Genomic DNA, 15249 nt, shown 5'->3' on the forward strand with positions numbered 1-15249 from the left:
AAGATGAGTGTGGGAGGAAAGTGAAAGCTTCTGGCTACGTTATAGCAGATGACACTATAAAATAATAATGGAGGCTGGGCGTGGTGGCTCATGCTTGTAATCCCAGCACTTTGGGAGGCCGAGGTGGGCGAATCACCTGAGGTCAGGAGTTGGAGACCAGCCTGGCCAACATGGTGAAACCCTGTCTCTACTAAAAATACAAAAATTAGCCAGGTGTGCTGGTGCATGCCTGTAGTCCCAGCTACTTGGGAGGCTGAGGCAGGAGAATCGCTTGAAGCCAGGAGGCGGAGGTTGCAGTGAGCCAAAACTGCACCACTGCACTCCAGCCTAGGCAACAGAGCAAGACTCTGACTCAAAAAAAAAAAAAAAAAAAAAAAAAAAAAAAAAAGGAGAAGTGAGACCCTAAATATCTGAAAAGAAAATGGATGACTTGTTTCACTCAGCACCCCAGGACAGGGCCAGAGAAAACAATAAAAACCACATGGAGGCGGGCTGGGTCACAATACTGGAAAGCCCTTTCCAATGACTCTAGCTATCTAGAAATGGACATAGGCTCTCTAGATCTAGACGGGGTTGGCACCCTAGTTCTGGAATTTGAGTGTTCTCCCTGTTGAGCCCCAAATGGCCTTTCTAGTGTGTCTAATAGTAGCATACATCCACCTCTAGGTTCTCCAACTTAGTACATCCTTTTCTCCATCTAATTCCTACCCATATCTCAAGGCTGACCTGACCTGTATGGCCACCCAACAAACCATTAGTGTCTGAACCCCTCAACGCAGTGGCCAAGAGCCACCAACTCTGGGATCAATCTGCTTATGCTTAAATCCCAGCTTTGCCACTTGTGAGCTCTGTGAACTTCAGCCAGTCACTTAACCTCTCTGGACCTCTGCTCTCCATTGGGAAAATTAGACCTACCTCCTAGGATTGTTGTAATATGTTAAAATGTGTTTTGTGTGACATATAGAGCTGCAGCTATACAGAGATAGTAAAAATATCAATGATTGCTAGGGGAGAGGGAAGTGGTAGAAGGGATGAATAAGTGAAGGACAAGGAATTTTAAAAAATGTGAAACTATTCTGGATATTGCTTAATGGTAGATACATGACATTATGCATTTGTCAAAACCAATAGAACTGTACAGCACAAAGAATGGACCCTAAACTATGGACTTTAGATAACAATAATGTATCAATACTGGTTCATCAGTTGTAACCAATGTACCACACTGTTGCAAGATGTTAGTAATAGGGGAAAAAAACAAGATGATAGGGAGAAAAAACAATAATAATAATAGGGGAGGGCTGGGCATGATGGCTCACGCCTATAGTCCCAGCACTTTGGGAGACGGAGGCAGGCAGATTGCTTGGGTCTAGGAGTTCAAGACCAGTCTGGGCAACATGGCGAAACCCCGTCTCTACAAAAAATACAAAAAATTAGCCAGTCATGGTGGTGGGTGCCTGTAGTCCCAGTTAGGAAGCTAAGGTGGGAAGATGGCTTGAGCTCAAGAGGTGGAGGTTGTAGTGAGCTGAGATCGCACCACTGCACTCTAGCCTGGGTGACAGAGCCTCAAAATATATAATAATAATAATAATAATAGGAGAAACTAGGGGTGGGGAAAGGGTTTATGGAAACTCTCTGTACCATCTGTTCAATAAAGTCCAAAAAAAAGTAATCTAAAAATAATGTACGTAGGTAATAACTGACACATTGCAGATCCTCAATTTTAAAAAATATGTAGCACAATAAGTCCTTACACATAGTAAGGACTCAATGAATAATAGCTGTTGATGTTTTTTAAATTACCATTATTAGTATTTAATATTTAACCTACTGGTAATATTAACTTTCTTTTTGGCATTTTTAGCCTCTTTAACTAGAATATATGTTTTTATAAAAAATAAATCATGTTTTTTCTCTTTTCTGTATCCTCCAGATACTCAGTATAGTGTCTGGCAAATATTAGGCTTTCAAAGTTGTGAGATTGGCCACCCTGAGACAATTCTTCACGATGAAGCATTAACTGAATGACCAAGTCATTTCCCTAGTCATCAAGACCAAGTACTTCCTCAGAAAATGATTCTATGATGGGCTGTGGGAGCACAAGTTAGCTCTCTGACTTGGCCACTGCTGTCCGGTGCCATCTGACTGGGTCACATCAGTCCCTCACATCAGTCTGACTCTGCCTTGAAAACAACCTTTTTCTGGAATATTCTGGGACCTCTGGAGTTTGCTGACTGCTTTTTTATACTAGATGATGTGATTAGATTCCAGTATCAGTAGGAATATTTGTTTGAGTGCCTCCTGCTAGATAAAGACTGTTTCTCTGCCTCCTTACTATAGGTACTGACCACAGCATTTCCTACGTTTATACCACTTGATTATGTGGAAAATGACTAAAAGGTAGAATTACATGTTTCACGGTGGATATGACAGCCACTTTTCTTTTTGAAGTAAAAGCTTCTGAACATGTCACCTATGTAAATACACTTCACCCCACTGGGTATATTCATACATAATACTTACAATTTGTTCTTGGTTTTGTGGAGAACTGGTGGCACCATTTAATATCCATTGTAAGTTCTGTTCTCCCATGACTAGGCTGGACTGCAGGATAGCTGTGTTGGGAGTTGGGGTGATGGTTATTGTGGGATTATTAGTTAGGACAGAGTTGGCACCCAGGGGCAGAGTCTGGACCATGGCTGGCAGGGGCTCAGTAGTACTTTGTGGTGGGGCTGGTGCTGCCACAGCTGATGCCACTGCCGCTGCTGATGCAGAAGCCCCAGCAACAACAGAAAGTCCTGGTACAATGGGCTGCGGTGCCTGGGGGTGCGGAAGAAACTCTTGATGATTAGCAGCAAACTGTGTGCTGTGGGGAACAGGCACTTCTGGAGGTTGTAAGAGAGCAGGGGGGTTGCCAAATGCAGCTTGCTGGGAGCCAGGTCCTAGGGAGGGAGCAGGCGGAGGAGCAGACGGAGCTGAGGCAGGTAGTAGAGGCTGGGGTGGCTCGGAGAGGCCAGGTTGCAGTACAAGTGGAAGAGATAAAGATGCTGAATTTCCTGTGGATGGCGGAACATCACTGACTGACTCTGCATCACCATTAAAACTTTCAGTCAAGGAAGCTGGCAAGAAAAAGAAATAGAAATATATATACATATCCCAAGCCTTAGATGAGCCACAAAAACAGTCATTATGGGCTAAACAAAACACAGCTGAAGTCCACTGAGCTGATCTCTTCATAGCTAGCAGGCCAGCTTTCTGTCATTTTCATTTAGTGACACCTCTGGTCAAAGTATCACGTTTCACCATCAACCTCACTTCCTAAATGTGAAGACCCAATATAGTTCTAACCATTTAAAAAAGTGTCTTAAGGCTTTTCTGGAAAAGAGACTAAACATCCTTTTTTTGACATGACTAGTGACTATACTTTCTGACTAATGGGAAGTTTTACAGACAAATTTTCATGAAACACAGTATGATATATGCAGCTGAAGTTTGTGGATTTGTGGGTCCTGTCCATTCACAGACAGTGTATCACATCAGAAGAAAGAGCTCACAAGGCTGGGCATGGTGGCTCACGCCTGTAGTCTTAGAACTTTGGGAGGCTGAGGCGGGTGGATTGCCTAAGCTCAGGAGTTTCAGAGCAGCCTGGGCAACATGACAAAACCCCATCTCTACCAAAAATACAAAAAAAAAAAATTAGCTGGGTGTGGTAGCACGTGCCTGTGGTCCCAGCTACTCAGGAGGCTGAGGTGGGAGGATCACTCAAGCCTGGAGGTGGAGGTTGCGGTGAGCTGAGATCACACCACCGCACTCCCATCTGGGTGACAAAATGAGACGCTGTCTCAAAAAAAAAAAAATGTAGAAGAAAAATCTCACAGCTCCTCCCCATTTTGGTGGTTTTACAGCCAACAGAAGATTCTGGGAAAGGAGATTCTCTTCTTCAGGACTGAGGGAAGTAGGGGAAAAGATGGAATTAAACTGAAAGACCCAAACTTTCTGACCCTTTATAGAAAGCTCACTTCATTTACGCTAACTAGAATGATTCATTGTGCCTGTGACTCAGTGTGTCAGCAAGTGCTTAGATGTGAGTAGAAAGAGTCCGTGTGACAAACCTGTCTGTTGAGGATCTTCCTGAATTGCCGTATCATCTGAATTCTGGAACATTGATTCAAAGATGATTGCTGGTGAAATTGTGCTGAGGTCCTGGCCCTGGGTCTGATGGAGAGAGACAAAGATGTGAGATTGGCCATCTTGAGACAATTCTTCACCATGAGAAAACACATTCAAAGCAGCAGAACTAGAATGAAAATCTTTTGATATGCATTTTGTTTCTACCTTCTGCTATTTAAAGTAACATGTATTTTCTTAAGCCTTAGACACTAAAGATTTGGGTCCTCAAATACTTTATTTTTATTTATTTATTTTTTAATAGAGACAGAATCTCACTACGTTGCCCAGGCTGGTCTTGAACTCCTGGGCTCAAGCAATCCACTCAACCTCAGACTCCTAAAAATGTTAGGATTACAGGCATGAGCCACCATGCCCAGCCCCTCAAACACTTAAAACAGGAATTGGCACACTATGACTTGCCAGTTGATTTCCTGTTTTTGTAAATAAAGTTTTATTGGAACACGGGCACATGCATCCATTTATATATTATCTGTGCTACTTTTGCTACAATGGCAGAGTTGACTAGTTGTGACAGAGACCATGGAATCAACAAAGCCTAAAATATTTACTGTCTGGCTCATTACCAAAAAAAACCTTGCTGACTTCTGATCTAAAAGACCAAATCTTACATTAAAAAATGAGATTACAGGCCAGGTGTGGTGGCTTATGCCTGTAATCCCAGCACTTTGGGAGGCTGGGGCGGGCAGATCACCTGAGGTAAGGAGTTTGAGACCAGCCTGGAAAACATGGTAAAACCCCGTTTCTACTAAAAATACAAAAATTAGCTGGGCATGGTGGCAGGCGCCTGTAATCCCAGCTACTTGGGAGGCTGAGGCAGTAGAATTGCTTGAACCTGGGAGGCGGAGGTTGCAGTGAGCCAAGATCGCACCACTGCACTCCAGCGTGGGCGACAGAGCAAGACTCCGTAAACAACAACAAAAAAATTATATAATATTCATTACCCTGCAACTTGCTTTCCTCATGTAATAATAACATTGTGAATATTTTTCATAATATCTATGATATTCTAGTATGTATGCATGGTAATAAACAAGACAACAATGGTGAACAATAGTGATACCTTTATACTTAATAAAAGGTCAGAGGCATTAAAAACAAAAAGGTAAAATGTGAGGGGGGAGACCCAACACAATGTCCTGAGGGCCTGCCTCCCCACAGGCACTAACTAAAACGAGCACTCTTCACTTTAGTTCAGGGAAGGGGAAAGACTACAGTTCTTCTATCCATGGTCAACCTCCAATCCACCTCTACCCCTACAGTTCGTAGGGCAAGAGTGGTAAGGGCAACTGCCTACAAAGTCCAGAGAGGGAAAAGAAATACGTGAAGCAAGGGAGGTGGGTTGTGGCATACTGGAGAGAATGCATGCCAGTCACCTCAAGGGCTTCAGCCGAATGCTGCCATGGGAATATGCAGGCCAGGGATTACCAGAACTCAAGTGGCAAAATTTTGACTTTCTTTTTTTTGAGACAGGGTTTCTTTACTCTGTTGCCCAGGCTGGAGTGCAGTGGTATGATCATAGCTCCCCGCAGCCTTCAACTCCCGGGCTCAAGTGATCCTCCCACCTCAGCCTCCAAGTAGCTGGGACCACAGGTATGGGCCACCACATCTGGATGATTTTTTAATTTTTCTGTAGAGATAGGGTTTTACTATGTTGTCCAGGCTGGTCTGGAACTCCTGGGCTCAAGAGATCCTCCCACCCCAGCCTCCCAAAGTGCTGGGATTATAGGTGTGAGCCACCACATCAGACCCAGAAATTTTGATTTTTACATGAAATCTACCAACTTGTAAATAAAAGCAAGTACAGCTGACCCTTGAACAACATGCATTTGAACTGCACAAGTGGACTTATACTTGGGACTTTTTTCCACTTCTGCCACCCCTGACACAGCAAAACCAACCCCTCCTCTTCCTCTTCCTCCGCCTACTCAATGTGAAGACGATGAGGATGAATCACCTTTACAATGATCTACTTCCCCTTAATAAATAGTAAATTTATTTCCTCTTCCTTGTGATTTTCTTAACATTTTTTTTTTTCTAGCTTACTTTAAGAATACAATACATAATACATATAACATTCAAAATATCTGCTAATCTAAACTGTTTATGTTATCAGTAAGGCTTCCAATCACAGTAGGCTAAGGCCATTGCTAGCTCAGTTTTGGGGGAGTCAAAAGTTATACTAGGATTTGGTTGTGCAGGGGGTTATGGGTTGGGAGGCCAGCACCCCTAGCCCCTGTGTTGTTCAAGGGTCACATGTAATTGAAAATAACTTAAACACACTGTATATACCAAACTAAAACCTCTTTTTAGGGCAGATCTTGCCCTAGTGCCAACATACGTTTTAAGGTCATTTTGTAACAACTCTGCTTCTAGAAGGCAGAACTCAGAAGGATCACTTTGGGATTGGGTAGAAGTGTGGTGATGAGTGGGGCTGTCCACCAATCTAGAAGTGCTCAAAGATTAAATTGCCCACTGGAGCCAAAAGGGAGCAATTCTTCTTTTCCCCCCCTTTTTTTCAGACGGGGTCTAGCTCTGTTATCCAGGCGGGAGTGCAGAGGCGCAGTCAAGTCACTGCAACCTTGAACTCCTAGGTTCAAGATCCTCCCCTAGACCTCCCAAGTAGCTGGGACTACAGGCGCACGCCACCATGCCTGGCTGCTTTTTAAAAATTATTTTTAGTAGAGATAAGGTCCTGCTACGTTGCCTAGCCTGGTCTTGAACTCCTGGCCTCAAGCAGTCTTCCCAAAGCACTGGGATTACAAGTATGAGCCACCACCACCAGCTGATGATTCTCTTCTACGTCTATCAGCTGAAGGAGGGGAAATTCAGTGATTCCTTTTTTTTTTTTTCTTCATTTCAGTGATCCTGATTGCCAATATGATAGAAGGTGAAGTCAGAAATTATGTGAGGCCAGGCGCAGTGGCTCACACCTGTAATCCCAGCACTGTGTGGGGCCGAGGCAGGCAGATCGCTTGAGGTCAAGAGTTCGAAACCAGCCTGGCCAACACAGTGAAACCCCGTCTCTACCAAAAGTACAAAAATTAGCTGAGCATGGTGGTGCGTGCTTCAAATCCTAGCTACTCGGGACGCTGAGGCAGGAGAATTACTTGAACCTGGGAAGTGGAGGTTGCAGCGAGCTGAGATCAAGCCACTGCACTCCAGCCTGGGTGATGGAGCAAGACTCCATCTCAAATCTATGTGGGACAACTTCCAACTTCCAGTCCGGACAGAGTTAAAACTCATAGGCCAATAGTGTGACTTTCAAATTTTCATTGTGACACAAAGTAAGAAATACATTTTACACTGTATATACATACATTCTTCATATTATATACATATCCATATGTGTAACTGAAACAAGTCTATGAAACAGACCTTATCCTTACTATGTGCAATGTCCTCTGATTTTTTTTCTATTCTATTGATGTCTTTGAAATGCTGATTATAAACCACTATTTTAAAACCCAATGAAAAGGTGCAATCCAGTTTGAAAAATAGTTGACTAACAACTACCACTGAGCATAAGCTTTGCAACCTCCTCATAGTTGTTATTATTATTATTATTATTATTATTATTATTATTATTTGAGACAGAGTCTCGCTCTGTTGCCCAGGCTGGAGTGCAGTGACATGATCTTGACTCACTGCAAGCTCCACCTCCCAGGTTCACGCCATTCTCCTGCCTCAGCCTCCCAAGTAGCTGGGACTACAGGCGCCTGCCATCATGCCCGGCTAATTTTGTTTTTTGTATTTTTAGTAGAGATGGGGTTTCACCGTGTTAGCCAAAATGGTCTTGATCTTCTGACTTCGTGATCCACCCGCCTCGGCCTCCCAAAGTGCTGGGATTACAGGCGTGATCCACCCTCCTCGGCCTCCCAAAGTGCTGGGATTACAGGTGTGAGCCACCACGACCAGCCATAGTTATTACTTTTGTTCTGTTTATAAATCATTATAGGTAGTAACATAATTAAAAACGAATGAGCTATATTTGTCAATGATATTAGGTTGGTGCAAAAGTATTTGCGGTTTTTGCCATTACTTTCAATGGCAATTACTTTTGACCAACCTAATACCTCAATAATACTAGGGAAAAGAAAAGGAATGGGCTTGTGTGCCTCCAAAACATATGTACAAAAATGTTCACAGCAGCACTATTCATAATGGCTCCAAACTGGAAACTATCCAAAGGCCCAACAGGAGAAAGAACAAATATTGGTATATTCATTTAGTGTATTGTGGTATATTCACTTAGTGTAATATTGTTCAACAAGAAGAATGAATGACCTGTAACTGTATGTAATAATATGGCTTAATTTCTTAAACATAATGTTATGAGAAGAAAAGCCACACATAAACAAGTATATGATTCCAATCATAAAAGCATTAAAAAAAAAAAAACAGGAAAAACTAATCTTAGTTGTTGTAAGTCAGAATAGTGGTTGTCTGCAGGGAGAGATCATGGCTTTTGGGGGTATGTGAGGGGGGGGCCTCTGGGGTGCTGGGAATGTTATTTTGTTTGTTTTCTTTTGTTCTGAGACAGAGTTTCGCTCTTGTCACCCAGACTGGAGTGCAATGGCACGATTTCAGCTCACTGCAACCTCTGCCGCCACGGTTCAAGTGATTCTCCTGCCTCAGCTTCCCGAGTAGCTAGGATTACAGGCGCCCGCCACCACACCCGGCTAATTTTTGTATTTTTAGTAGAGACGGAGTTTAGCCATGCTGGCCAGGCTGGTCTCAAACTCCTGACCTCAGGTGATCCGCCTACCTCAGCCTCCCAAAGTGTTGGGATTATAGGCGTAAGCCACCACGCCTGGCTGGGAATGTTCTTTTTGACCGGGGTGCTGGTTACATGGGTGTGACGAATTGTGATGATTCATCAAGCTGTACATTTATAATACATGTGCTTTTCTGTATGTATATTGTACCTCAATAAAAAGCTTGTTAAAATTTAAAAAAAGGAAAATGCTGAAGCCCCTGCCAAGCTTCAGGGCAAAAACGCTGGGAGCAAAGTGGGTAGGAACAACTTTCACAAGTAGAGAAGACAAGAACAGGCTGAGCTTTCCAGGCCTGGAGCAAGGAGCAAAGAGCAAAGGGCAAAGAAGAGGAGAATACAGGTAGCTGTCTGGGACCAGGATGGATCCTGGAGCTGAGCAGCCAAAAGGCTTCGAGAAGGCCATTCCCTAGCACCTTCAACTCTCCTCTAACAAAAGATCTGAGCAAACCAAAGTTCATTTCTAGGATATGCATACATATGGCTGCTGAGAAACCCATAAAATCATTATCTCATATAAATTTACTATTTGATTTTAACAAGTCCTGATTCTCTCTTTTTTTTCTTTTTTTTTTTGAGACAGGGTCTTGCTCTGTTGCCCAGGCTGGAATGCAGTGGTGTGATCATGGCTCACTCCAGGGCTCAAACAATCCTTTTGCCTCAGCCTCCCAGATAGCTGGGACAACACCAGCTAATATTTTATTTTTACTAGAGATGAGGTCTCTATTAAAAAAAATATTTTTATTAGAAAATACCACCACCACACCCAGCTAATATTTTATTTTTACTAGAAATGAGGTCTCACTGTGTTGCCCAGACTGGTCTCAAACTCCTGGGCTCAAGCCATCCACCCACCTCTGCTTCCCAAAGTGCTGGGATTACAGGCATGAGCCACTGCACATGTCCCTAATTTTTTTTTCAAGCAAAGAAAATTTAATCCTGGCCGGGCGCGGTGGCTCACACCTGTAATCCCAGCACTTTGGGAGTCCGAGACGGGCGGATCACGAGGTCAGGAGATCGAGACCATCCTGGCTAGCATGGTGAAACCCTGTCTCTACTAAAAAACACAACAAAAATTAGCCAGGCATGGTGGCGGGCGCCTGTAGGCCCAGCTACTGGGGAGGCTGAGGCAGGAGAATGGCGTGAACCCAGGAGGTGGAGCTTGTAGTGAGGCGAGATCGCGCTACTGCACTCCAGCCTGGGCGACAGAGCGAGACTCTGTCTCAAAAAAAAAAAAAGAAAAAAGAAAAATTAATCCTATTGCTTCAAGGAATTGTGGCCTTAGTTTGAAAGGCTAAAATCAATTTCCACATCTGAGATAAACACTGGGTACCAGGAGCATGATCTATAATTAAACCCCAAGGGATAGTGCTTCTCTCTCTTGATTATATAAATTGTGATAGGAAAGGCTTCCCTTTTTCATAAGTACTTGGTGTCCCCTTATGCCAGGGTATTTTCCTGGTGACCCTAGGGCTCCAGAAAGCTCGTTAGTCATATGTCATAGTCTTGGCCAGAGAATAGACTCCTAAGCTATTTAACACAGTTACACGTTAAAGGGATATTATTCCTAGAAATCTTAGGCTGGGTAGCTTTGAGGGCATCTAGACCACCCAGTGCAGAAATTTCTTTTAGAACATTAGTTGTAAAATAGGAATATGCATAAAAGTCATGTGATGTACCCATTTAATCTTTTTCTCTTTGCTCTTTAGTTTGATTCATTTCTATTATTGATCTTCAACTCAACTGATTCTTTCTTCTGTCATTTCCAATCTGCTGTTAAGCCCCATCCAGTGAATTATTTCAGCTATATTTTTCCGTTTTAGATTTCCATTTGGTACACTTTTTACGGTTTCTATTCCTCTGCTGAGATTTCCTATTTGTTCAATCATTACAAGCATATTCCTTTATGTCCTTGAGCATATAATAGCTTTTAAAAATCCTTGTCGCATAAAAAAATAAAAATAAAAAAAATCCTTGTCTGTTAATTTTAACATTAGATGGGTCATCTTGGGGTCCATCTCCACAGATTACCTTTTCTCTTGTGGAGGGATCATGTTTTCCTGTTTCTTCACGTGTTTACTAATTTGGGATTGCTCTGAACACTACAAATGATATATTTTAGAGACTCTGGACTCTGTTACACTTCTTGGAAGTGTGTTGACTTGTTTGTCTGAATATTCCATTAACTTCATCTCCCTTGCAGTGGATGCAGCTATGATCTTTGTGTAGATCTTTAGCCTTGGCTGGGCTGCTTAGAGTCTATCCCACACATCCATGGCGCAGGGGTCAGCCAGAGATTCGGAGAGAGTTTATACACAGAACTTGGGGCTCCCCCTTAGTGACTCTTTCCTTTCCAGGCTACCTGCCTTCACTTTCCAGGTGCTGTGGCCACCCTGAACTCTGTCCTCTGGTTATTCAAGCCAGTAAGATTGAGTTTTTATAAGTTTGGCTGCCTCGTTGGGTGCCAACTGGGGCTTGCCCAAGGTGGATAAGCCATAAAACTTGCAAGCCTACCCAGTGCCTTTACCATCTTCCAAGCAATCCCTTCTTCCAAGGTTACCTCTGCTTGCTATTGGTTGCTCACCAGTGCCTTTCCACAGTTGTTTTTTATATTTTGTCTAGAATTTTTAGCTGTTTTCTGCGGGAGAGTTGGTCTCATAAGAGCAACTCTGCCACTACCAGAAGGAGAATTAGGCCTTGTCGTGCTTACATAAAAATGCAGGTTCAGATGCCACGGTCAGACAAGCTGACTCAGCAGGCTTGGGGGGAGGCCCAAGAACCTACAACTTCAGAAGTGCTGTAATTGACTCCACTAACCACTCTTTCACAGCATTCCTGAATCATTCAGTCTCTGTTCAAATACTTCCCATCATATTTATTCATTATGCACATAATCACAGAAAATCTAGCCTATGCTATATTTATTTACCAGGAAAAACGACAACAAAAAACCCAAACTCAAAATTAGTGTTAGCAATACTATAAAACTCTCATGTTCAACATGGAGGAGGCTGCATAAGCTCAGACTCAATGCATTGGTTTGTAAGTTGCATCATGGAGCCATGGGAATGGCAGTCAAATTTCCTAACAGCTTGAATCAAAGCAATCAGATTAAGATAAAGTGGGCTTGTCCTTTAGCAGATAGAGGCCTCTATATGTGTAAGAGGTTTTCTTCAAAAAGCTAATAAACCTAAAGAAGGGAAATTTTTCTCTCCCCATTGCACAGAAAAAAAATAAATAAATAAAATTAAAATGAAAAAGGAAAAGACCAAGCCAGGTCATATAGATAGGATTTGAGAAAGTCCAGAAACTAGAATTCTGGTTATGTCTTACAGTACTAGACTTTAAGTTCCTCAAGGACAAACTATACCAACATTTTTAACTACTATAAGCTCAGTACTGGCACAGTGCCTGGTCAATAAATATTTGCTAAATGAGTAAAAAAAAGAAATTTTCTGGGGCCAGGTTACCGAGTGAGTGACCTGCGTCAAAAGGAATCAGGCATCAGAGAGAACAGGCTCTAATAGAACTCTTATCAGAAGAAGAAAAAATCCTACATGGTCAGTAATTAAACACAATTAAATTTAGAAAACTTCAAAGACTGGCCTGCCTCAATTTTCCCACCAAAGGGAGTGCTTAATTCTTGCCCTTATTTTTCTAGCACTGGTATTACAGGTACACTTACCGTACTGGAATTTTCTCGCAATTCAGAATCTGTGGACAGAAGGCTCAAGTCACTTAGACAAAGTGAGTGATTTGTATCCTGTGAAAGAGAAAAAATTCTAATTGAGTAACAAAAATCAGGATTTACAGTGGCATATCATGTAACAAAACATTTGATTACAAAGTCCCTAATGTTCCACATGTCTACATGTATTATCTGAAGAAGTATAAGCCAACCAAAGCAAGGGCTAAATGAATTAATTTTTTTTAAATTATACTTTATGTTCTAGGGTACATGTGCACAATGTGCAGGTTTGTTACATTATGTATACATGTACTATGCTGGCGCGCTGCACCCATTAACTCATCATTTACATTAAGTATATCTCCTAATGCTATCCCTCCCCTGCCCCACCCCGTGAATTAGTTAATTTTTAAAAATCCTGATATTCTTACAAGAATATCTTACATTTCTTAAAAATGATTAATAAAGAGTTTTAGAGGCTGAGAGTGGTGGCTCACGCCTGTAATCCCAGCAATTTGGGAGTCTGAGGCAGGTGGGTCACAAGGTCAGGAATTCGAGACCAGCCTGGCCAACATAGTGAAACCCCATCTCTACTAAAAATACAAAAAATTAGCTAGGCGCGGTGGTGTGTGCCTGTAATCCCAGCTACTCGGGAGGCTGAGGCAGGAGAATCACTTGAACCTGGGCGGCAGAGGTTGCAGGGAGCCAAGATCACGCCACTGCACTCCAGCCTGGGCGACAAGAGTGAGACTCTGTCTCAAAAAAAAAAAAATAATAATAATAATAAAGAGTTTTAACATTATCTTATGACTAAGGCTCCAAAGTAACAAACCTATAATAATGTGAAATTAATACTATCTGTATACCTGGTCTCATCATTTACAGTGATTTCACAGGACCTCATTTGCCATTCATATAAACCTTGGAAGTATTACTCTATATCCCCATTTTTTATTCTTTTTGTAACAAATTGCCACAAACTTATATTCCCATTTTAAATATCAGAAAACTGATGCTCAGACAGTAGGAATCAAGTGCCCCCAAACACACAGCTAATTAGCAGAAGACAAATCCAGTGCTTCTGACTGAAAAGTCAATGGTCCTTCCACCACTGTGTTTCCCACATGGGCACTGAAAGGCTCCTTACTCAGAGTGGTACTGGGGATTTAGAATTCAAATTCCACTGCCCAGACTAAGTGAACTCTGGAGTCCCAGAATGCCAGTCACAATTCACACTTTAGGTGGTAGCCCTGCTTACCTCAGATGCTCCTATTCATGCACACACTCAACAAACATTCATAATGCATCTACTATGTATTAGACACCGTTCCAGACCCAGGGATACATTAATGAACAAACTAAACTCCTCCCCACGTAGAGCTTACGTTCTAGCAGAGAGGACAAAAAACAAATAAATATACAATGTGCAAGAGGATAAGTGTTATGGAGAGTAAGGGCAGTAGGGAACTCTGGGATAGGAGTTGCTCTTTTATTGGGTGGTTAGGGAAGCCCTTTTAGGTAAGTGGCATTTGAGTAGAGAGTGAAGGAAAGAGGGTATCAACCATGCACATATCTAGAGAAGATGTTCCAAGCAGAGGGTACAGCAAGTATAAAGGCCTAGGGGCAGGAGTGGACACTCCTTGGTTCAAGAAACCACAAAGAGGACCATATGGCTGAAGTGAGAGGAAGAAAAGTAGGCAGGGCACAGTGGCTCACATCTGTAATCCCGGTACTTTGGGAGGCCAAGGCAGACAGATCACTTAAGCTTAGGAGTGCAAGACCGGCCCAGGCAACATGGTGAAGACCACATCTCTACTAAAAACACAAAAAAAACCTGGGTGTGGTGGTGCATGCCTGTGGTCCCAGCTAGTTGGGAGGATCCCTGAGCCAGGGAGGTGGAGGTCACAGTGAGCAGAGATTGCACCACTACACTCCAGCCTACAGGACAGAGCAAGACCCTGTTTCAAATAAAATGAAATAAAACAAAAATAAAAGCGAGGTAGATGAGATCAGAGAAGCAACCAGGCCAGAATGTGTAGGGCCCTATAGCCTACTATAAAGACTGACTTTTACTTCAAGTGATACAGGAAGCTACTGGAGGCCAGGTGGGGTGGCTCATGCCTGTAATCCCAGCACTTTGGGAGGCTGAGACAGAGGGTGGGGGCGGCGGGGGTGGGGGAAGGGAAAGACTGCTTGGACCTTATCTCTATTAAAATAATTTTTAAAAATCTATAAAATAAAAATTTAAAAAGCTACTGTGGGTTATGAGCAGAGGACAGACATTATCTGCTTTATGGTTCAGAAAGATCACTCTGGCTGATATATGTAGGACAGTCTATTGTGGAGTGGACAGAAGAGGGGGAAAAGGTCCTAAGAAGCTCACTTAACAGGTTATTGCAATAATCCAGGCAAAAAGACAACAGTAGACTGAATGAAGTAATCAGAAGAAGTGATGGGATTCTAGATAAATTATCAAGGATGAGCTGGCAGACTTTGCTGGCGGATGTGGAGTGTGAGGGAAAAAAGAGTCAAGAATGACTATAAGATTTTTGGCCTTTGCCACTAGAAAACCAGAGCCGCCATTTACCAAGACGAGGAA

At 42.6% G+C, this 15249-nt stretch overlaps 1 protein-coding gene across 5 annotated transcripts in view; it reads right to left on the reverse strand.

The window, feature by feature from the left end:
- MTF1 (metal regulatory transcription factor 1) overlaps positions 1-15249 on the reverse strand; it is a 50019-nt gene that overhangs the window by 10024 nt on the left and 24746 nt on the right. For all 5 annotated transcript variants that reach the window (NM_005955.3, XM_047421170.1, XM_011541491.3 and 2 more), the window contains 3 exons: positions 12648-12725; positions 4113-4215; positions 2524-3119 (listed from right to left, as the gene is read on the reverse strand). In NM_005955.3, coding sequence (NP_005946.2) covers positions 2524-3119; positions 4113-4215; positions 12648-12725 — 777 coding nt within the window. The remainder of the gene's footprint in view (positions 1-2523; positions 3120-4112; positions 4216-12647; positions 12726-15249) is intronic.

This window comes from Homo sapiens, chromosome 1 (genome assembly GCF_000001405.40).
Source record: "Homo sapiens chromosome 1, GRCh38.p14 Primary Assembly".
Lineage (NCBI taxonomy): Eukaryota > Metazoa > Chordata > Mammalia > Primates > Hominidae > Homo > Homo sapiens.